Here is a 16,808-nt window from a genome sequence, read left to right on the forward strand (position 1 = left end):
TTCAATGTATGCAGTGAGGACTATTTACACATGGACCCAAAAGGATTGTCAGTAATTTAAAAATAAAGCAAAATAAAACAAAACAAACCTAAAACTACATGAGGCAAATACTTACTATCTGTCTTTATTATTAATGAAGTAGTAGTCCATAATCCTTGATATGACACTAATTACTACGCAAAATTTCTTACCCTTCTGCAAGAATTTTCTGCACTCAACTGTTGAAAACCTTTCTGTCCTTCAAGAATTACATCTCTCCTGAAATCTTCATCCAAATCTTTCCATTATGATCTTTGATTGTCCTAGTCCATTTGGTCGGCTATAACAAAAGACCACAGACTAAGGAGCTGATTAACATAAGAAATTTATTTCTTACAGTACTGGAGGCTGAGAAGTCAGAAGTCAAGACAATGACATATTTGATGTCTAGTGAAGGCACTCTTTCTAGTTCACAGATGGCATCTTCTATGTGTGGCCTCACATGGTGGAAAGGATGCATGAACTCCCCTGGGCACCTTTACAAATGCACTAATCCCATTCATGAGGCCTTCATCCTCATGACCCACTCTTCATCTCCCTCAAAGACCTCAACTTCTAATATCATCACCTTAGGGGTGAGAGTTTTAACATATGAATTTTAGTGACACAAACATTCAGACCATAGCATTTATTTACTTGTTAGAGTGATCACTTTTGCTTTTCTTGCTAATCAATCATTTTCCTTTTTACTGGTAATAGCACCTTGGTTTTCTGGCATTGCATGAGGTCTCAGTGGGATGCTTATGGCTTGCCTTGCCTTGATCAAGGGGTCAGCATACAGTCAAACTAGGCTAGCAAGACTCTTTCCTAGGTATGTAATTATTCAGAAGAGTGACCCAAAGACAGAATGTTAGAGTTGATCGGCCCACCAGACTAATGCTGCGGAGAGCACAACCATTAGTTTCCCCACCTAGACTATCAGAGCTTGTTCTGCCCCCTGTTAGGAGATTCATGGGTTTTTTTTTCCTGCTTTTTATACGAATATGTAAGCTGTCTTGTGACTTCCAATCAACTGATTTGGCATGAGATACCAGAGTAGAATTCTGTTTGATTACCAAAGAAAAATGACTCCCTGTATTAGGTAATTTTTACTATATAATAATTATACGCTCCACTCTAATATAATATACTATATATATTATAATGTAATTTAGAATCCTTCAGGACTAGAACCAAATAGGACATTTTATTTTTACAGCATCCCTCAACATAGCAGTCAGCTGTATTTTATGCTTAATAAATAATTGTGTAAATGATGCCTTGTTTTCAAAAATGACTTGCAGCTTTCAATTTACTTCATGAAATGAACTTAATTTGTTTTCATATTCACTGTGTGCATTTTCCCAAGGCAGGTATTATAATCATGCCTAAAGGCAGCATGGTAAATATGTAAGAGCCCAGGCAGAGTGAGGTATGAACCCTACTCCGTTACTTATAAGCTCTGTCTGCTGGGGCATCTTATTCAATGTCCCTATAGTTTATCTCCTCCTCTATCAAATAATAAATTAAAAAGTTCTTTCTTCAAGTTATGATGCTAGTATATGAAGATGTAAAAGGAGTAATATAAAATGGGTACTACAATGTTTGAACTAATTTACACTGCCACTAATAGTGTAAAAGGGTTCTTATTTCTCCACAGCCTCACCAGCATCTGTGGTTTCCTGACATTTTAATAATTGTCAGTCTAGCTGGCATGAGATGGTATCTCACTGTGGTTTTTATTTGCATTTCTCTAATGACCAGTGATGATGAGCTTTTTTTCATGTTTGTTGGCCACATCAATGTCTTCTTTTGAGAATTGTCTGTTCATATCCTTTGCCCACTTTTTGATGGGGTTGTTTGTTTCTTATAAATTTGTTTAAGTTCCTTGTAGATTCTGGATATTAGCCCTTTGTCAGATGGGTAGATTACAAAAATTTCTCCCATTCTGTAGGTTGCCTGTTTACACTGATGATAGTTTCTTTTGCTGTGCAGAAGCTCTTTAGTTTAATTAGATCCCATTTGCCAATTTGGGCTTTTGTTGCAATTGCTTTTGGTGTTTTAGTCATGAAGTCTTTGCTCACGCCTATGTCCTGAATCGTATTGCCTAGGTGTTCTTCTAGTTTTTATGGTTTTAGGTTTTACATTTAAGCCTTTAAACCACTGAGGAAGACAGTGTGGTGATTTCTCAAGGATCTAGAAACAGAAATACCATTTGACCCAGGAATCCCATTACTAGGTATATACCCAAAGGATTATAAATCTTTCTACTATAAAGACACATGCACATGTAGGTTTATTGCAGAACTATTTACAATAGCGAAGACTTGGAACCAACCCAAATGCCCATAATTAATAGACTGGATAAAGAAAATGTTGCACATATGTACCATGGAATACTATGCAGCCATAAAAAAGAATGAGTTTACATTCTTTTCAGGGACATGGATGAAGCTGGAAACCATCATTCTCAGCAAACTAACACAGGAACAGAAAACCAAACACCATGTGTTCTCACTCATAAGTTACAGTTGAACAATGAGAATACATGGATACAGGGAGGGGAACATCATACACTGGGGCCTGACCAGGGCTGCAGGGACAAAGGGAGGGAGAGCATTAGGACAAATACATAATGCATGCGGGGCTTAAAACCTAGATGACAGGTTGATGGGTGCAGCAAAGCACCATGGCACATGTATAGCTATATAACAAACCTGCACGTTCTGCATATGTATCCCAGAACTTAAAGTTAAAAAGAAGAAGAAAAAAGAATTCTAGATGTTTAAAATCAAACAAAATTTAAGATTGTCTTTGGCTACTACTGGCCATAGGAATTCACAGATTGTAGTGATAACAGTGATCTTATATATTTTGTTTCTCCAAGAAATGCATGGAAATCAAAGCTGATGCATGATTACAAGGTCATCTCTCACCATGTTCCTAAACCTAGTGTCTATTATTCTCCAGATTTTATGTCGCCTTTACCTAATTTTATGATGCATTCACCTTTGCCTGGAAATCTTGTTGAAGTCACTGACAAAAATTTTTAAGAATAAATTTAAAGACTGTATTCTTTTTTAAAAAAAGGGGTACTAGTACTTAGCGGTGGCTCACGCCTGTAATCCCAGTACTTTTGGAGGCAGAGGCAGACAAATCATGAGGTCAGGAGTTTGAGGCCAGCCTGACCAATATAGTGAAACTCCATCTCTACTAAAAGTATAAAAAAATTAGCCAGGCACGGTGGCGGGCACCTGTACTCCCAGCTACTCGGGAGGCTGAGGCAGGAGAATTGCTTGAACCCGGGAGGTGGAGGTTGTAGTGAGCTGAGATCACACCATTGCATTCCAGCCCAGGCGACAGTGTAAGACTCTGTCTCAAAAAAAAAAAAGTTAATTATAATTAATGTCATTTTAAAATAAAGAAAATGAGGTGCGCAGTGTTTAAATAGATGTTTCCCCTTCTTACAGTCAATAAGAGGCTGAGTGGGGAAGAGAACTTGGAGTCTGTGTACCTCTAGGCCACTGGACATTCCATTCTACCAAGACTCTGCTCTTTCTTTACTTATTGACATGTGGCCTCCTTTACTTATAGAAATAAGAAATTTCCTGCTCTTTGCCTATCTCTATGGATCTAATCGCCTAAGCCTTTGTTTATTTTAATCAAATAGGAAAAAATACCCAATGATTAAAAATATAAACAGCTGAAAATCATTTGTACCAACTTAATTTCATAACCAATTAAAACCAAAAAAATTAATTAGAAGTTTTTTTAGCCTGACAACACTTAATTATTAACACTTACTTGGCTTCAAAATTTGTATCATGATTTACCAAAACAATAAATATATAAGAATTTTTAGTGGAGATCTAGGAAAGGTACAGGCTTGCAAACAACATAATTCAGTTTTCATCCCTATGGGAGGTAAAGCGAATTTGCAGACTGCTTTTGCAGCTGGCTCATGGTAATACTTTATTTCCCAAGTCTTAAGCTTTGGGTGCACTATGTACAACGAAGGCAATAGGAAGCTTTCTGAGCTGCGGCTGAGAAAAAAGCAAATCTATTTGTCATTCTATAAGTAAAGCTGGCCCTGAGCATGAGGTTGGTATAAATATATCTTCATCTTGCTGCTCGTCACACCAACCACCCCTTCTCAATCAACCCCAAATCACAGTACAATTTGAACATATAATAGAAAGTTATTCTACTATAACAGGTGTATTAGTCCAGTGAGTTGTATAAGACATGTATGGTGTTTCTTTAGTACTTAATATTTCATCCTTTTCAGGACTAACTGGGCAAAAGTTCCCAGGGTTTTTCCTAAATTTTTAATAGGAGAAAAAGTGGAAAATAGTTTAGCTTTTTCTACCACAAAATTAAGTTTGTTACAGCTTAATTTTCAGGTGAACACACAGGAGTTTAGCTGTATTTACAGGATTGACTATTTTTCAACATTCATGATAGGAGAATTTTTCCTCTAATTTTAACAAGAACTGGATTCTTTAATTTTAAATTGCTTACATTGAATTTAATTATTAAAATTGAATTTCTTAAACATTTTAATTTCTTATTAATTCTATAAATATTTATGGGATACCTATTATGTGATTGTCACTATACTGCCTACAAAGAAGAATAATTCATCACTCTTTCTATTCATTGTTTGCTAAATATTTTTGAGTGTTCACTTTTTTCCAGGCACTGGTGATACAATAGAGAACAATACACACAAATGGCCCCTCTTTCATGCTTACATTAAACAGAGGAGACAGTCTATAGACCTAATAAACACATTACATAATATCATAGAGATTAATAAGGTAAGGTTGCTGGGCCTGCTGATAGGGTGGTTTGCAGTTTAAATAGGGTGGTAATGGCAGGTGTTTCTAAGCTATTGGGATCTTACCAGAGTTTTAAAGAGAAGGAGATAGTGAGCCATAGGCATATATGGCAGAAGTGGCAAGCAACACCAATATCTTGGGAAGAAAGCATGTCTGAGGTAGTAGAGGAAGAACTAGGAGGCCCACATGGTTGGGGAGAAGAGAGTGGGAGGTTGAACAATGAGTGACAAGTCCTTGTTTTTATTGAGCTCATAGTCCAGTGGGAAAAGGCAAGAATACTGATCCTAAAAGTGCAGGGTTTACTATATTCAAACTAATCTTAGGTATGAATGGGGCTTCTGAATAAGACTAGAGGCATCCTAGAGGTGGTGACCAAGAGATAAGTGAGATCTGAAGGTTGAGTACAAGTTAGCTGGATAAGATGGTGGGGGCAATCCAGAAAAAATAAAACAGAAACAGGTATATGGCTGAGGTGGGTGGAAGACTTGAGGTCAGGAGTTCGAAACCAGCCTGGCCAACATGGTGAAACCTCGTCTCCACTAAAAATACAAAAATTAGCCAGGTGTGGTGGTATGCGTTTGTAATCTCAGCTACTCGGGAGGCTGAGGCAGAGAATCGCTTGAACTCGGGAGGCAGAGCTTGCAGTGAGCTGAGATCGCGTCACTGCACTCCAGCCTGGGTGACAGAGTGAGACTCTATCTCAAAAAAAAAAAAAAAAAAGAAGAAGAAGAAGGAGAGATAGAAAAAAGAGAGAGAAAAGAAATAAAGAAAGAAAGAGAAAGAAAAAAAGAAAAAAAAGAAATAAATAGGTATATGTAAAGCCTGGAAAGACAACACAAAACATACATTCAGGAAATGGCTAGAAGTCCTTTATGACTGAGGAAGAGTTGATTAAGAACAGGAGACAAAAATAAAGATAGGCTTTGTGTAACAAACTAAAGGATTTGAATTTCATCCTCAAAGTAATAGGGTGCCATTTAATATCTTTAATCAGGGGAATGATGATGATCAAACAGATATCATTCATTGCAGATGAATAGAAGCTGAATCAGCCTATAGGCAGTTGGAATCCTATAACTATAAAAATAATTTAAAAAAACTGGACTTGGGAAAAAAGGGGTAGTAATAAATATGAAAGCTATCAACATAGTTTAATAGACAGGTATTAGATACAGATTTAATATAGGAGAGAAGTCAAAAAGAAGTTGTTAATTTAAATCCCTAATTTTTCTTTTAAACATGTAGAGGCATAGGAATGAGATTCACAGGCAGAGGAAGAACAAGTTTGTGGGAAAAGATGACGGTATCTTTTTGAGACAGGCTGAATTTGAACTACTTGAGGAATAGTCAAGCTGAGACACCCAGAAGTGGTATATATAAATTGTACATAAGGAGAGGATTCTGGAGTTGTCATGTGTCTGGTGAAGTTGAAACCATGGGTTTGGATAAAGTTTACAGAGACATATGTAGAATTAGTATAGTAGAAAGCCAACTACAGCACCTTGGGAACACTTAATGGTTATGGTGTGAATGGAGAAAGGCAGCCAGCAAGAAGACTACTAAGAAACAGCCAGAAAAATTGCGATAATAATAATAATAACAACAACAGTAATAATAATAGATGTGATCAAGACTTACAATTGTGAGAATTATAAAATGGCTAGGTTTTATTGCATATTTACTCTATGTACTTTACATTGGTTAAAGCATTCAGCCTCAGGGCTTAATTCCCGTATAAAATGAACTATTGTAATTCTCCATTTTATATCTCAGGAAATGGAGATACTGATAGTTAAATTAAACTTGTTGAGCCAGACACTGCTAATAACACTACATGTAAATAATTTAACTCTCACTACCATACTATCACCTCCTTTTACATACATGATAATTGAGGCACAGACTATGGAACCAGTAAACATGCAGCTGTAGTATGGTTAAAACTTCTAAATGCTTAACCCTTATATTTCTGTTTTGTGAAATGGTGACAAAATGTGCTTTTACTTTCACCATGTAAATATGACTGGGAAATAACAAGAACCATTTCAATGGGGTGATAGTGGCAAGAACACAGGCTATACGCAATTGAAAATTTAAGTGAGAAGCGAATGTAGACAGCACCTTCAAGAGTAAACAGACAAAAACTGATGAAACAGAAGGTAATGATACATGTGGATTAAGAAAGAGTTTTTTATTCGGTTGTTTTTTGTTGGTTTGTTTAAGAGGAAAGTAGGGTGAGCTGAGAATTCCAACAGAAAGCTGGAATGATGATACAACCAAGAGATAGAAGGACTGATGGAATAAAGTCCCAAGGAAGGTTGGGAGAAATGGGATATGAAACGCAGGGAATCATTTACCACACAAAAACAAACCAAAATAAAAGACCTCATTAGCTGATATCTGCTTAGATGCTAAAGACAACAGGAAGACTTTCTGGAATATGTTCAGCAGGTCCAAGCATTTCCCTTTGCTTCTCTGAAAGAAATGTAACTGAGGCAAAGACCATCTGGCACAACTCCTCTCTGGGCTCTGTTTGCATTGCTCCTGAAAGGATCTGAGGCCTGAGTAAAAGCTGGCTCTGTTCCTGAGTTGTCCTTGGAATTCAAGTGGTTCCAAAGATGCTAGAATAAAATTTATTTTTAAATCCACCACACAATGGGCACTAAATTTCTTTATTTCCTTTTCAACTAAATTAGAAACCCTGGGAATGACCTACAGGCCAGTGAGTTTCTCTGAGGTTTCTAATCCACAACAGAATTTCTGAGCTGACCACAAGAATAGTCTTAGAAATACAATACAGCACACTGATGGGTCTTGACTCTTTATCCAATTTGCCGGTCTGTGTCTTTTAATTGGAGCATTTAGGCCATTTACATTTAAAGTTAATACTGTTATGTGTGAATTTGATCCTGTCATTATGATGTTAGCTGGTTATTTTGCTCTTTAGTTGATGCAGTTTCTTCCTAGACTCGATGGTCTTTACAATTTGGCATGATTTTGCAGTGGCTGGTACCAGTTGTTCCTTTCCATGTTTAGCTTCAGGAGCTCTTTTAGGGCAGGCCTGGTGGTGACAAAATCACTCAGCATTTGCTTGTCTGTAAAGTATTTTATTTCTCCTTCACTTATGAAGCTTAGTTTGGCCGGATATGAAATTCTGGGTTGAAAATTTAAAACTCTCAATAAATTAGGTATTGATGGGACATATCTCAAAATAATAAGAGCTATCTATGACAAACCCACAGCCAATATCATACTGAATGGGCAAAAACTGGACGCATTCCCTTTGAATGGCACAAGACAGGGATGCCCTCTCTCACCACTCCTATTCAACATAGTGTTGGAAGTTCTGGCCAGGACAATTAGGCAGGAGAAGGAAATAAAGGGTATTCAATTAGGAAAAGAGGAAGTCAAATTGTCCCTGTTTGCAGATGACATGATTGTATATCTAGAAAACCCCATTGTCTCAGCCCAAAATCTCCTTAAGCTGATAAGCAACTTCAGCAAAGTCGCAGGATACAAAATCAATGGACACAAATCACAAACATTCTTATACACCAATAACAGACAAACAGAGAGCCAAATCACGAGTGAACTCCTATTCACAATTGCTTCAAAGAGAATAAAATACCTAGGAATCCAACTTACAAGGGACATGAAGGACCTCTTCAAGGAGAACTACAAACCACTGCTCAATGAAATAAAAGAGGATACAAAGAAATGGAAGAACATTCCATGCTCATGGGTAGGAAGAATCAATATCGTGAAAATGGCCATACTGCCCAAGGTAATTTATAGATTCAATGCCATCCCCATCAAGCTACCAATGACTTTCTTCACAGAATTGGAAAAAACTACTTTAAAGTTCATATGGAACCAAAAAAGAGTCCGCATCACCAAGTCAATCCTAAGCCAAAAGAACAAAGCTGGAGGCATCACGCTACCTAACTTCATACTATACTACAAGGCTACAGTAACCAAAACAGCATGGTACTGGTACCAAAACAGAGATATAGATCAATGGAACAGAACAGAGCCCTCAGAAATAATGCTGCATATCTACAACTATCTGATCCTTGACAAACCTGAGAAAAACAAGCAATGGGGAAAGGATTCCCTATTTAACAAATGGTGCTAGGAAAACTGGCTAGCCATATGTAGAAAGCTGAAACTGGATCCCTTCCTTACACCTTATACAAAAATTAATTCAAGATGGATTAAAGACTTAAACGTTAGACCTAAAACCATAAAAACCCTAGAAGAAAACCTAGGCATTACCATTCAGGACATAGGCATAGGCAAGGACTTCATGTCTAAAACACCAAAAGCAATGGCAAGGAAAGCCAAAATTGACAAATGGGATCTAATTAAACTAAAGAGCTTCTGCACAGCAAAAGAAACTACCATCAGAGTGAACAGGCAACCTACAAAATGGGAGAAAATTTTCACAACCTACTCATCTGACAAAGGGCTAATATCCAGAATCTACAATGAACGCAAACAAATTTACAAGAAAAAAACAAACAACCCCATCAAAAAGTGGGCGAAGGACATGAACAGACACTTCTCAAAAGAAGACATTTATGCAGCCAAAAAACACATGAAAAAATGCTCACCATCACTGGCCATCAGAGAAATGCAAATCAAAACCACAATGAGATACCATCTCACACCAGTTAGAATGGCAATCATTAAAAAGTCAGGAAACAACAGGTGCTGGAGAGGATGTGGAGAAATAGGAACACTTTTACACTGTTGGTGGGACTGTAAACTAGTTCGACCATTGTGGAAGTCAGTGTGGCAATTCCTCAGGGATCTAGAACTAGAAATATCATTTGACCCAGACATCCCATTACTGGGTATATACCCAACGGACTATAAATCATGCTGCTATAAAGACACATGCACACGTATGTTTATTGCGGCGCTATTCACAATAGCAAAGACTTGGAACCAACCCAAATGTCCAACAGTGATAGACTGGATTAAGAAAATGTGGCACATATACACCATGGAATACTATGCAGCCATAAAAAAGGATGAGTTCATGTCCTCTGTAAGGACATGGATGAAATTTGAAATCATCATTCTCAGTAAGCTATCGCAAGAACAAAAAAACAAACACCGCATATTCTTACTCATAGGTGGGAATTGAACAATGAGTACACATGGACACAGGAAGGGGAACATCACACTCTGGGGACTGTTGTGGGGTTGGGGGAGGGGGTAGGGATAGCTTTAAGAGATATACCTTATGCTAAATGACGAGTTAATGTGTGCAGCACACCAGCATGGCACATGTATACATATGTAACTAACCTGCACATTGTGCACATGTACCCTAAAACTTAAAGTATAATAATAAAAAAAAGAATACATATATGGCTCTTTGTGACTTTGAAATCTAAAGCGATTGTAGGATTATAGACTTGAAATATCAGATAATATGAAAGACAATCACCAGATATATTCTTGCTTCTTTCAAACACAATTCAGTTTCTTCTAAACTACTTCTAAAAATGAAGATGCTAGGCACTTTGGTCACTTACTAATAAAAAGTTATTGCTTAAAAATTTTGCTACAAATTTATAACCATTTGATTAAATACAATGTTGAATTTAGCACAGGTTCAGAATTAAACATGGCAAAAATAATAGTTAATAAAGCCTATGTTGATCTTTTCACATTGATAATAATTTAATTTTCATATGTAATATAATTGTAATGCCTTCATTTTCCCACAATTCCCACAATACCGAACAACTGACAAATAGATACAAAAAGGAAATTGATAGAAACATTCATGCTATGTACATGCAGTTTGCCTTCAGAAGCTTAGTACTAAGGAATAATATGCTTATCTTATCCTGCTATATGACTTACTTGTCTCTTGAATGGTTTCTATTCATCTGTATGTTACATGTCTACTGATAGGCCAAACAATTACCTTAACTGTGCTTCATGGCTGTCATGCCATTCTGGTACTTATCTATATTTCTACAGTCTGAGAAAAGTCTTATCACTTATCTCTTCAGATACTCCATTCAAGCGTATTTCTTAACCTTTCTTTATACTTCATGCACCATCAAACTTTCTACTTTTACAATGGAGTTTAGACTAACATGAAGGCATCACTATTTTTTTTTTTTCCTGCAATCTCCAGTACTCACTTCCTTAAAATGGTTGGTAGCTTTATGAACTAACATTTCTTGTAAGACCTATCATTGTCAACTTAGACATCTTGTTTTTTAAGTGAAGAATTTATTAGAGAAATAGCAGTTTCAGGTAATAATAAACAATAAAAATCTATTGTAAGATCTGTTCATTCAGGAATAATAAGTAATGTAGTGTCTATTTAAATATTAAAAGTTTTTATCTCTGTGAAAAATATAGAACTTACTTTATTTTATATTCCAATATAGCTTCCTCAAGATAAAATAACTCAATTTCACATGGAAGCCAAATAACAGGAACAGAAATGAAAGCATATTTATTGTACAATAGTTACATCGCCCTTGATGAATAATGTTGCAAGTTCATGAAGCAGTGTTAATTTTTCATGTCCATAAATAAAATGCTTTGTTAATTTAACAAAAATATACTAAATTATTTTTAAATTTTACAAATAGGATACATGAATGGCAACATGAAAGAGAGAAAAATGTGTATGTGTGTGTGTACGTGTGATAGGAGTAAAGTGAATAAAGTAAGAGAGGATTCAAAGCCTACTTAGAATGAGTACTAGGGTCTTAGAGCTGATAAATTACTTCACAAAAGAAAATAAAACAATAACAAAAAATTACAAACCAATAAACAGGCAACAATTGATTCCAAGAATCAATGATCCCATCATAAAACAAATGATAATTTATCAATTTTATAACCTAGATATCATACCTATTAAAGCTAGGTATTTCTGAGACCATTTTTTACAACCAGCAAAACATCTTGTTTTTACATTTATCACTGATATATGGGAGCTTTCATTTATAAAAGGCTGGGTTATCTGATGGGAAATTGAACCAGCATCTTAAATTTTCACTACTTGATGTTATGGCTCAATGTCATTCTAAATCAAATGTTTTATTACTTGACGGTTGCAAAGTAAAACTATCATTCCAACACCATGGCTTAAGTGACCTCACTTGTGCTCTTTTCTTGCTGGAATTTACTTACCCAAATTAAGTAAAATAAACAGTTAATATTGAAGTATGTTTTTACTCCATGAATTTTAATATAAAGGTTTGATTTAAATGTCTTTTCAATTCCACAATTAATTTTGCCAACTATATTTGGAAATTTGGAGGTTCCCCAAAAAATGAAAAATAGAACTACCATATGATCCAGAAATCCCAGTGCTGGGTGTATATCCAAAAGAAAGGAAATCAGTACATCAAAGAAATACCTGTACTCTCATGTTTTTGCAACATTATTCATAATAGCCAAAACGTGGAAGCAATCTAATTGTTCATCAGTAGACAAATGGATAAAGACAATGTGGTACATAATTTTAAAATGTATGCACAATGGAGTATTATTTAGAAGTAAAATTAAATGAAATTCTGTCATTTGCAACAAAAGGGATGAAACTGAAGGACATTGTGATAAGTGAAGTAAGCTAGACACAGAAGGGCAAACTTCGCATGTTCTCATTTATTTGTGGGAGCTAAAAATTAAAACGATTGAACTCATGAACACAGAGGGTAGAATTATGGTTACCAGGTGTTAGGAGGGGGTACTGGGTGGGGGTAGGGGGAAAGTGGGGATGCTTAATATATGAAGATATAGTTAGAGAGAATGAATAAGATCTAGTATTTGATAGCACAAGAGGGTGACTACAATAAACAATAATTTATTGTACATTTTAATAACCAAACAAGTATAATTGGAATGTTTATAACACAAAGAAATGATTTACAAATGCTTGAGGTGATGGATATCCCATTTACCCTAATATGATTATTATATATTGTATGCCTGTATCAAAATATCTCATGTACTCCATAAAAATATAAATACCATATATATATATATATATATATATACACACACATACATACCTAATATGTACCCACAGAAATTAAAACTTAAAAACTTATAACACACTGTTAATCTTTCTCCCAATCTGCCCCATAAGGATCTACAGTCTTTGACCAGGGAAAATGTGTACTGAAGAAAAGGAAATAATCAGATGTTTTAGGGACTATAGAGACTGACTTTGAACTGTCAATAATTCCAGGAGACACCAAATGTTTCTGTGGTCCACCACTCAGAGTACGGGCTTATGGAGGTCAGGTGATCAATGGAGTTTTAGCTCAAGTCCATTTCACAGTAGGCCCAGCAGTTCCCTGAACTCATCCTGTGTTTATTTCTGCAGTTCTGAATGCATAACTGGAATGGATATACTCAGCAGCTGATAGAATCCCTATATTGGTTTCATAACCTGAAAAGTAAGGTCTATTATGATAGAAAAGGCCAGTGGAAGCCACTGGAACTGCCTTTACCTAGGAAAGTAGTATATCATAAGCAATTCTGCATTCCTGGAGGAATTGCAGAGATTAGTTTCACTATCAAGAACATGAAAGATGCAGAGGTGATAATTCTCACCACATCCCCATTTGAATAGACTATTTGGCCTGTGCAAAAGACAGAAGGATATTGGAGAATGACAGTGGATTACCCTAAGCCTACACAGGTGGTGACTCAAATTGCAGCTGCTGTATCAGATGTGGTTTTATTGCTTGAGAAACAGCACAACCTCTTGTACTTGTTATGCAGTTATTAATCTGTCAAATGCCTTTTACTTCATCCTTATCAATAAGGCCTACCTAAAGCAGTTTGTGTTTGGCTGGTAAGGCCAGCAATGCTTTTGCACTACCCTGAGTCTCATGGCTATATCAACTCTCCAGCCCTATGTCCTAAATTAGTTTGCAGGAACCTTGATCACACTTCCCTTCTATAACTTACCACATTAGTTTATTACATTAATGACATCATATTGATTAGACCTAACGAACTTATGGGTAAGACATTTGCAAATAAGATGGTACGGAGTAAATCCAACAAAAGTTCAGAGGCCTTCTACCTCAGTAAAATGTTTAGGGGCTAATGGTATTGGTCATGTCGAGATATATTTTCTAAGGTGAAGGATAAGTTGTTGCATCAATGTATTCCTCACTGATGTGTGTTACTCCAGCACATTGACTTAATGACTTGAAAATCTACTGGTTTTGAGATTTTTTAGTAGGGTTCAGAACAGAAAAAGGCTCTGCAGTAAGTCCAGGCTACTGTGCAAGCTGCTGTGTCACTTGGGTTATATGATCTATCAAATCAATGGTGCTTGGAGTATCGATGGCAGAGGATGCTGCTTGGAGTTTTTGGCAGGCCCCTTTAAGTGATCACAGCAAAATCCCTTAGAATTTTGGAGCAATGCCTTGTCATCCTCCTTGGATAACTACTCTACTTTTGGAAAACATCTTTTGGCCTACTGGACCTTATTAGGTCTGAACACTTAACCATTTGCCACAAAGTTACCATGCAACCTGAGCATTGGCTTGTTGATCATAGAGCTCCTAAAAGTAAAAGAGATAGATGGCTACTAAATTCTTACTTGGTGTGTATGAACAGTTCTAGGTTAAGTGAGCAAAGTCTAACCTGGATTATAAAAATAGAGAGTCAAGTCCTCACAATACATTTGAACTGGGTATTATCTGACCTGTCAAGTCATAAAGCTAGGCAATCCCAGCAGCGCTCCACTGGGGTCAAGCTGGTCCTAAAGGCATGGCAAGATATATGAAGAAGTGGCCCAAATGCCCACTGGCGTCACACCAATTACACAGTTTTTGTGTGTAATTGATATGAGGACCATGGACATTTCTCTCCCAACCTGCACCTATGGCCTCATTGGAAAATATCTATGATCATCAAACAGAGAGAAAGAAGACTCATGCCAGGTTTACAGATGGTTCTGTGTGAAATGCAGGCAAGACCTGGTAAAATTCAGGTGCAGCACTATAGGCTCTTTTGGGATATCCTTAAAAGATAGTGGTGAAGAGAAATCTTTCCAACTGGCAGAACTTCAAACATTTCATCTAGTTGTTCATTTTGTTTGGAAGGAGAAATGGCCAATTATGCAGTAATATACTAATTCATGGTCTGTGGCCAATGGTGTTTGTTTGGATGGTCAGGCACTTGGAGGAAAAATAATTGAAAAATTGGTAACAAATTTTGGGAAGAAGTACGTGCATAATTCTGTCTTAAAGGGCAAAATATATGAACATATTTGTATTCCATATGAACGTTCACTAAAGGGTGACCTCAGCAGAGGAGGATTTTAATAACCAAGTAGATAGTACTAATTGTTCTATGAATACTAGCTCTTTCTCAGTCTACTGCTGTCACTGTCCAATGGGCTCATGAACAAAGTGGCCATGGTGGCAGGAATAAATGTTATCCACGGGCTCAGCAATATGGACTCCTACTTACGAAGGCCTACCTGGTTATGGCCACCACTGATGCACAGTCTGCCAGAAGCAGAGACCAACATTGATTTCCTGATATGGTATCATTCCCTAAGGTAATCAGTCTGCTGCTTGCTGGTATGTTGATTACATTGGACCACTTCTAGCATGGAAGGAGCAGCATTTTGTTCTTACTGAAATAGACATTCTGGATATGGATTTGCCTTCCCTCCGTGCAATGCTTCTGCCAAAACTACCATCCGTGAACTTTTAGAATGCCTTATTTATAGTCATGTTAATCCATCAATTATTGCTTCCAATTAAGGCAGTCACTTCATAGCAAATAAAGTGCAGTAATGGGATTTTCGTGGAATTCATTGGTCTTACCATGTTCTGCATTAACCCAAAGCAGCTGCTTTGATAGATTAGTGGAAAGGCATTTTAAAAACTCAGTTACAGCACCAAGTAGGTGGCAATTCTTTGCAGCTAGGGCAAGGTTCTTCAGAAGCCTGTATATAATCTGAATCATTGTCCAGTATACGGTACTGCTTATCCCATAGACAGAATTCATGGGTCCAGAAATCCAGAAGAGGAAGTAGGAATGACATCACTCAGTATTACTCCTAATGGCTCATTAGCAAAATGCTTGCTCTCTGTTCCTATAATTTTATGTGTTGCTGATCTAAAGGTTTTATCTCCAAATGGAGAAATACTTCCAACAGAAGACCCAACAATGATTCCACTGAATTAGCAATGAAGACTGCCACTTGACCACTTTGGCTTTCTAATGCCTCTGATTTAACAGGGAAAGAAGGGAGTTACTATGTTGGCTGTGGTGATTGATCCTATTGGGGGATATTGGATAGTACTCCACAATGGAGGAAAGGGATAATATGTATGCAATACAGGAGATACCTTAGGGCATCTTGTAGTATTACCATGCCCTGTGATTATCAATGGAAAAGTACAACAACCCAATCCAGGCAAGACTGCTAATGACTCCGACCCTTCCAGAATGAAGGTGTGGGTCATCCCACCAGGTAAAGAAGTATGACCCCCTGAGGTGCTTGCTGAAGGCAAAAAGTATATAGAATGGGCAGTAGAAGAAGGTAGTGATAAATACCAGCTATGACCATGTGACCAGTTGTAGAAAAAGAACTGTAATAATCATACTTCCTCCTTGTTTTGTTTTGAGTGTTCATGTGTGTATGTGTGTGTGTGTGTGTGTGTGTGTGTATTCAAATTAGGAAAGAGTTTTTCTATAACGAAATCTAGGAATTTGTAGTGCTGTTAAGATAAATTGTATTGTTCAATTAGTTACTTGATTTTCAATTACAAAATGGTTTCAATTACAACTAAGTCATTCAAACAGAATGCACATTTAAAAGTTGTCAAATATTTTCTAAGTATTATTAGGAAAGAACACACTGTTTAATAAAGCAAATTGACTTTTTAGAACTTCAACATACTATTACAAAAACTCACAGATGGA

General features: G+C 36.7%; 1 protein-coding gene and 1 long non-coding RNA gene across 4 annotated transcripts in view; both read right to left on the reverse strand.

Moving 5' to 3' along the window:
- NDST4 (N-deacetylase and N-sulfotransferase 4) overlaps positions 1–16,808 on the reverse strand; it is a 285,858-nt gene that overhangs the window by 172,708 nt on the left and 96,342 nt on the right. The gene's annotated exons all lie outside the window — the stretch shown is intronic.
- LOC124900764 (uncharacterized) lies at positions 349–12,576 on the reverse strand. Its single transcript, XR_007058239.1, has 2 exons — positions 10,253–12,576; positions 349–7,098 (listed from the first exon to the last, which is right to left on the reverse strand). It is a non-coding gene; the product is annotated as an uncharacterized LOC124900764 (long non-coding RNA).

This window comes from Homo sapiens, chromosome 4, assembly GCF_000001405.40.
Source record: "Homo sapiens chromosome 4, GRCh38.p14 Primary Assembly".
Taxonomy (NCBI): Eukaryota; Metazoa; Chordata; class Mammalia; order Primates; family Hominidae; genus Homo; species Homo sapiens.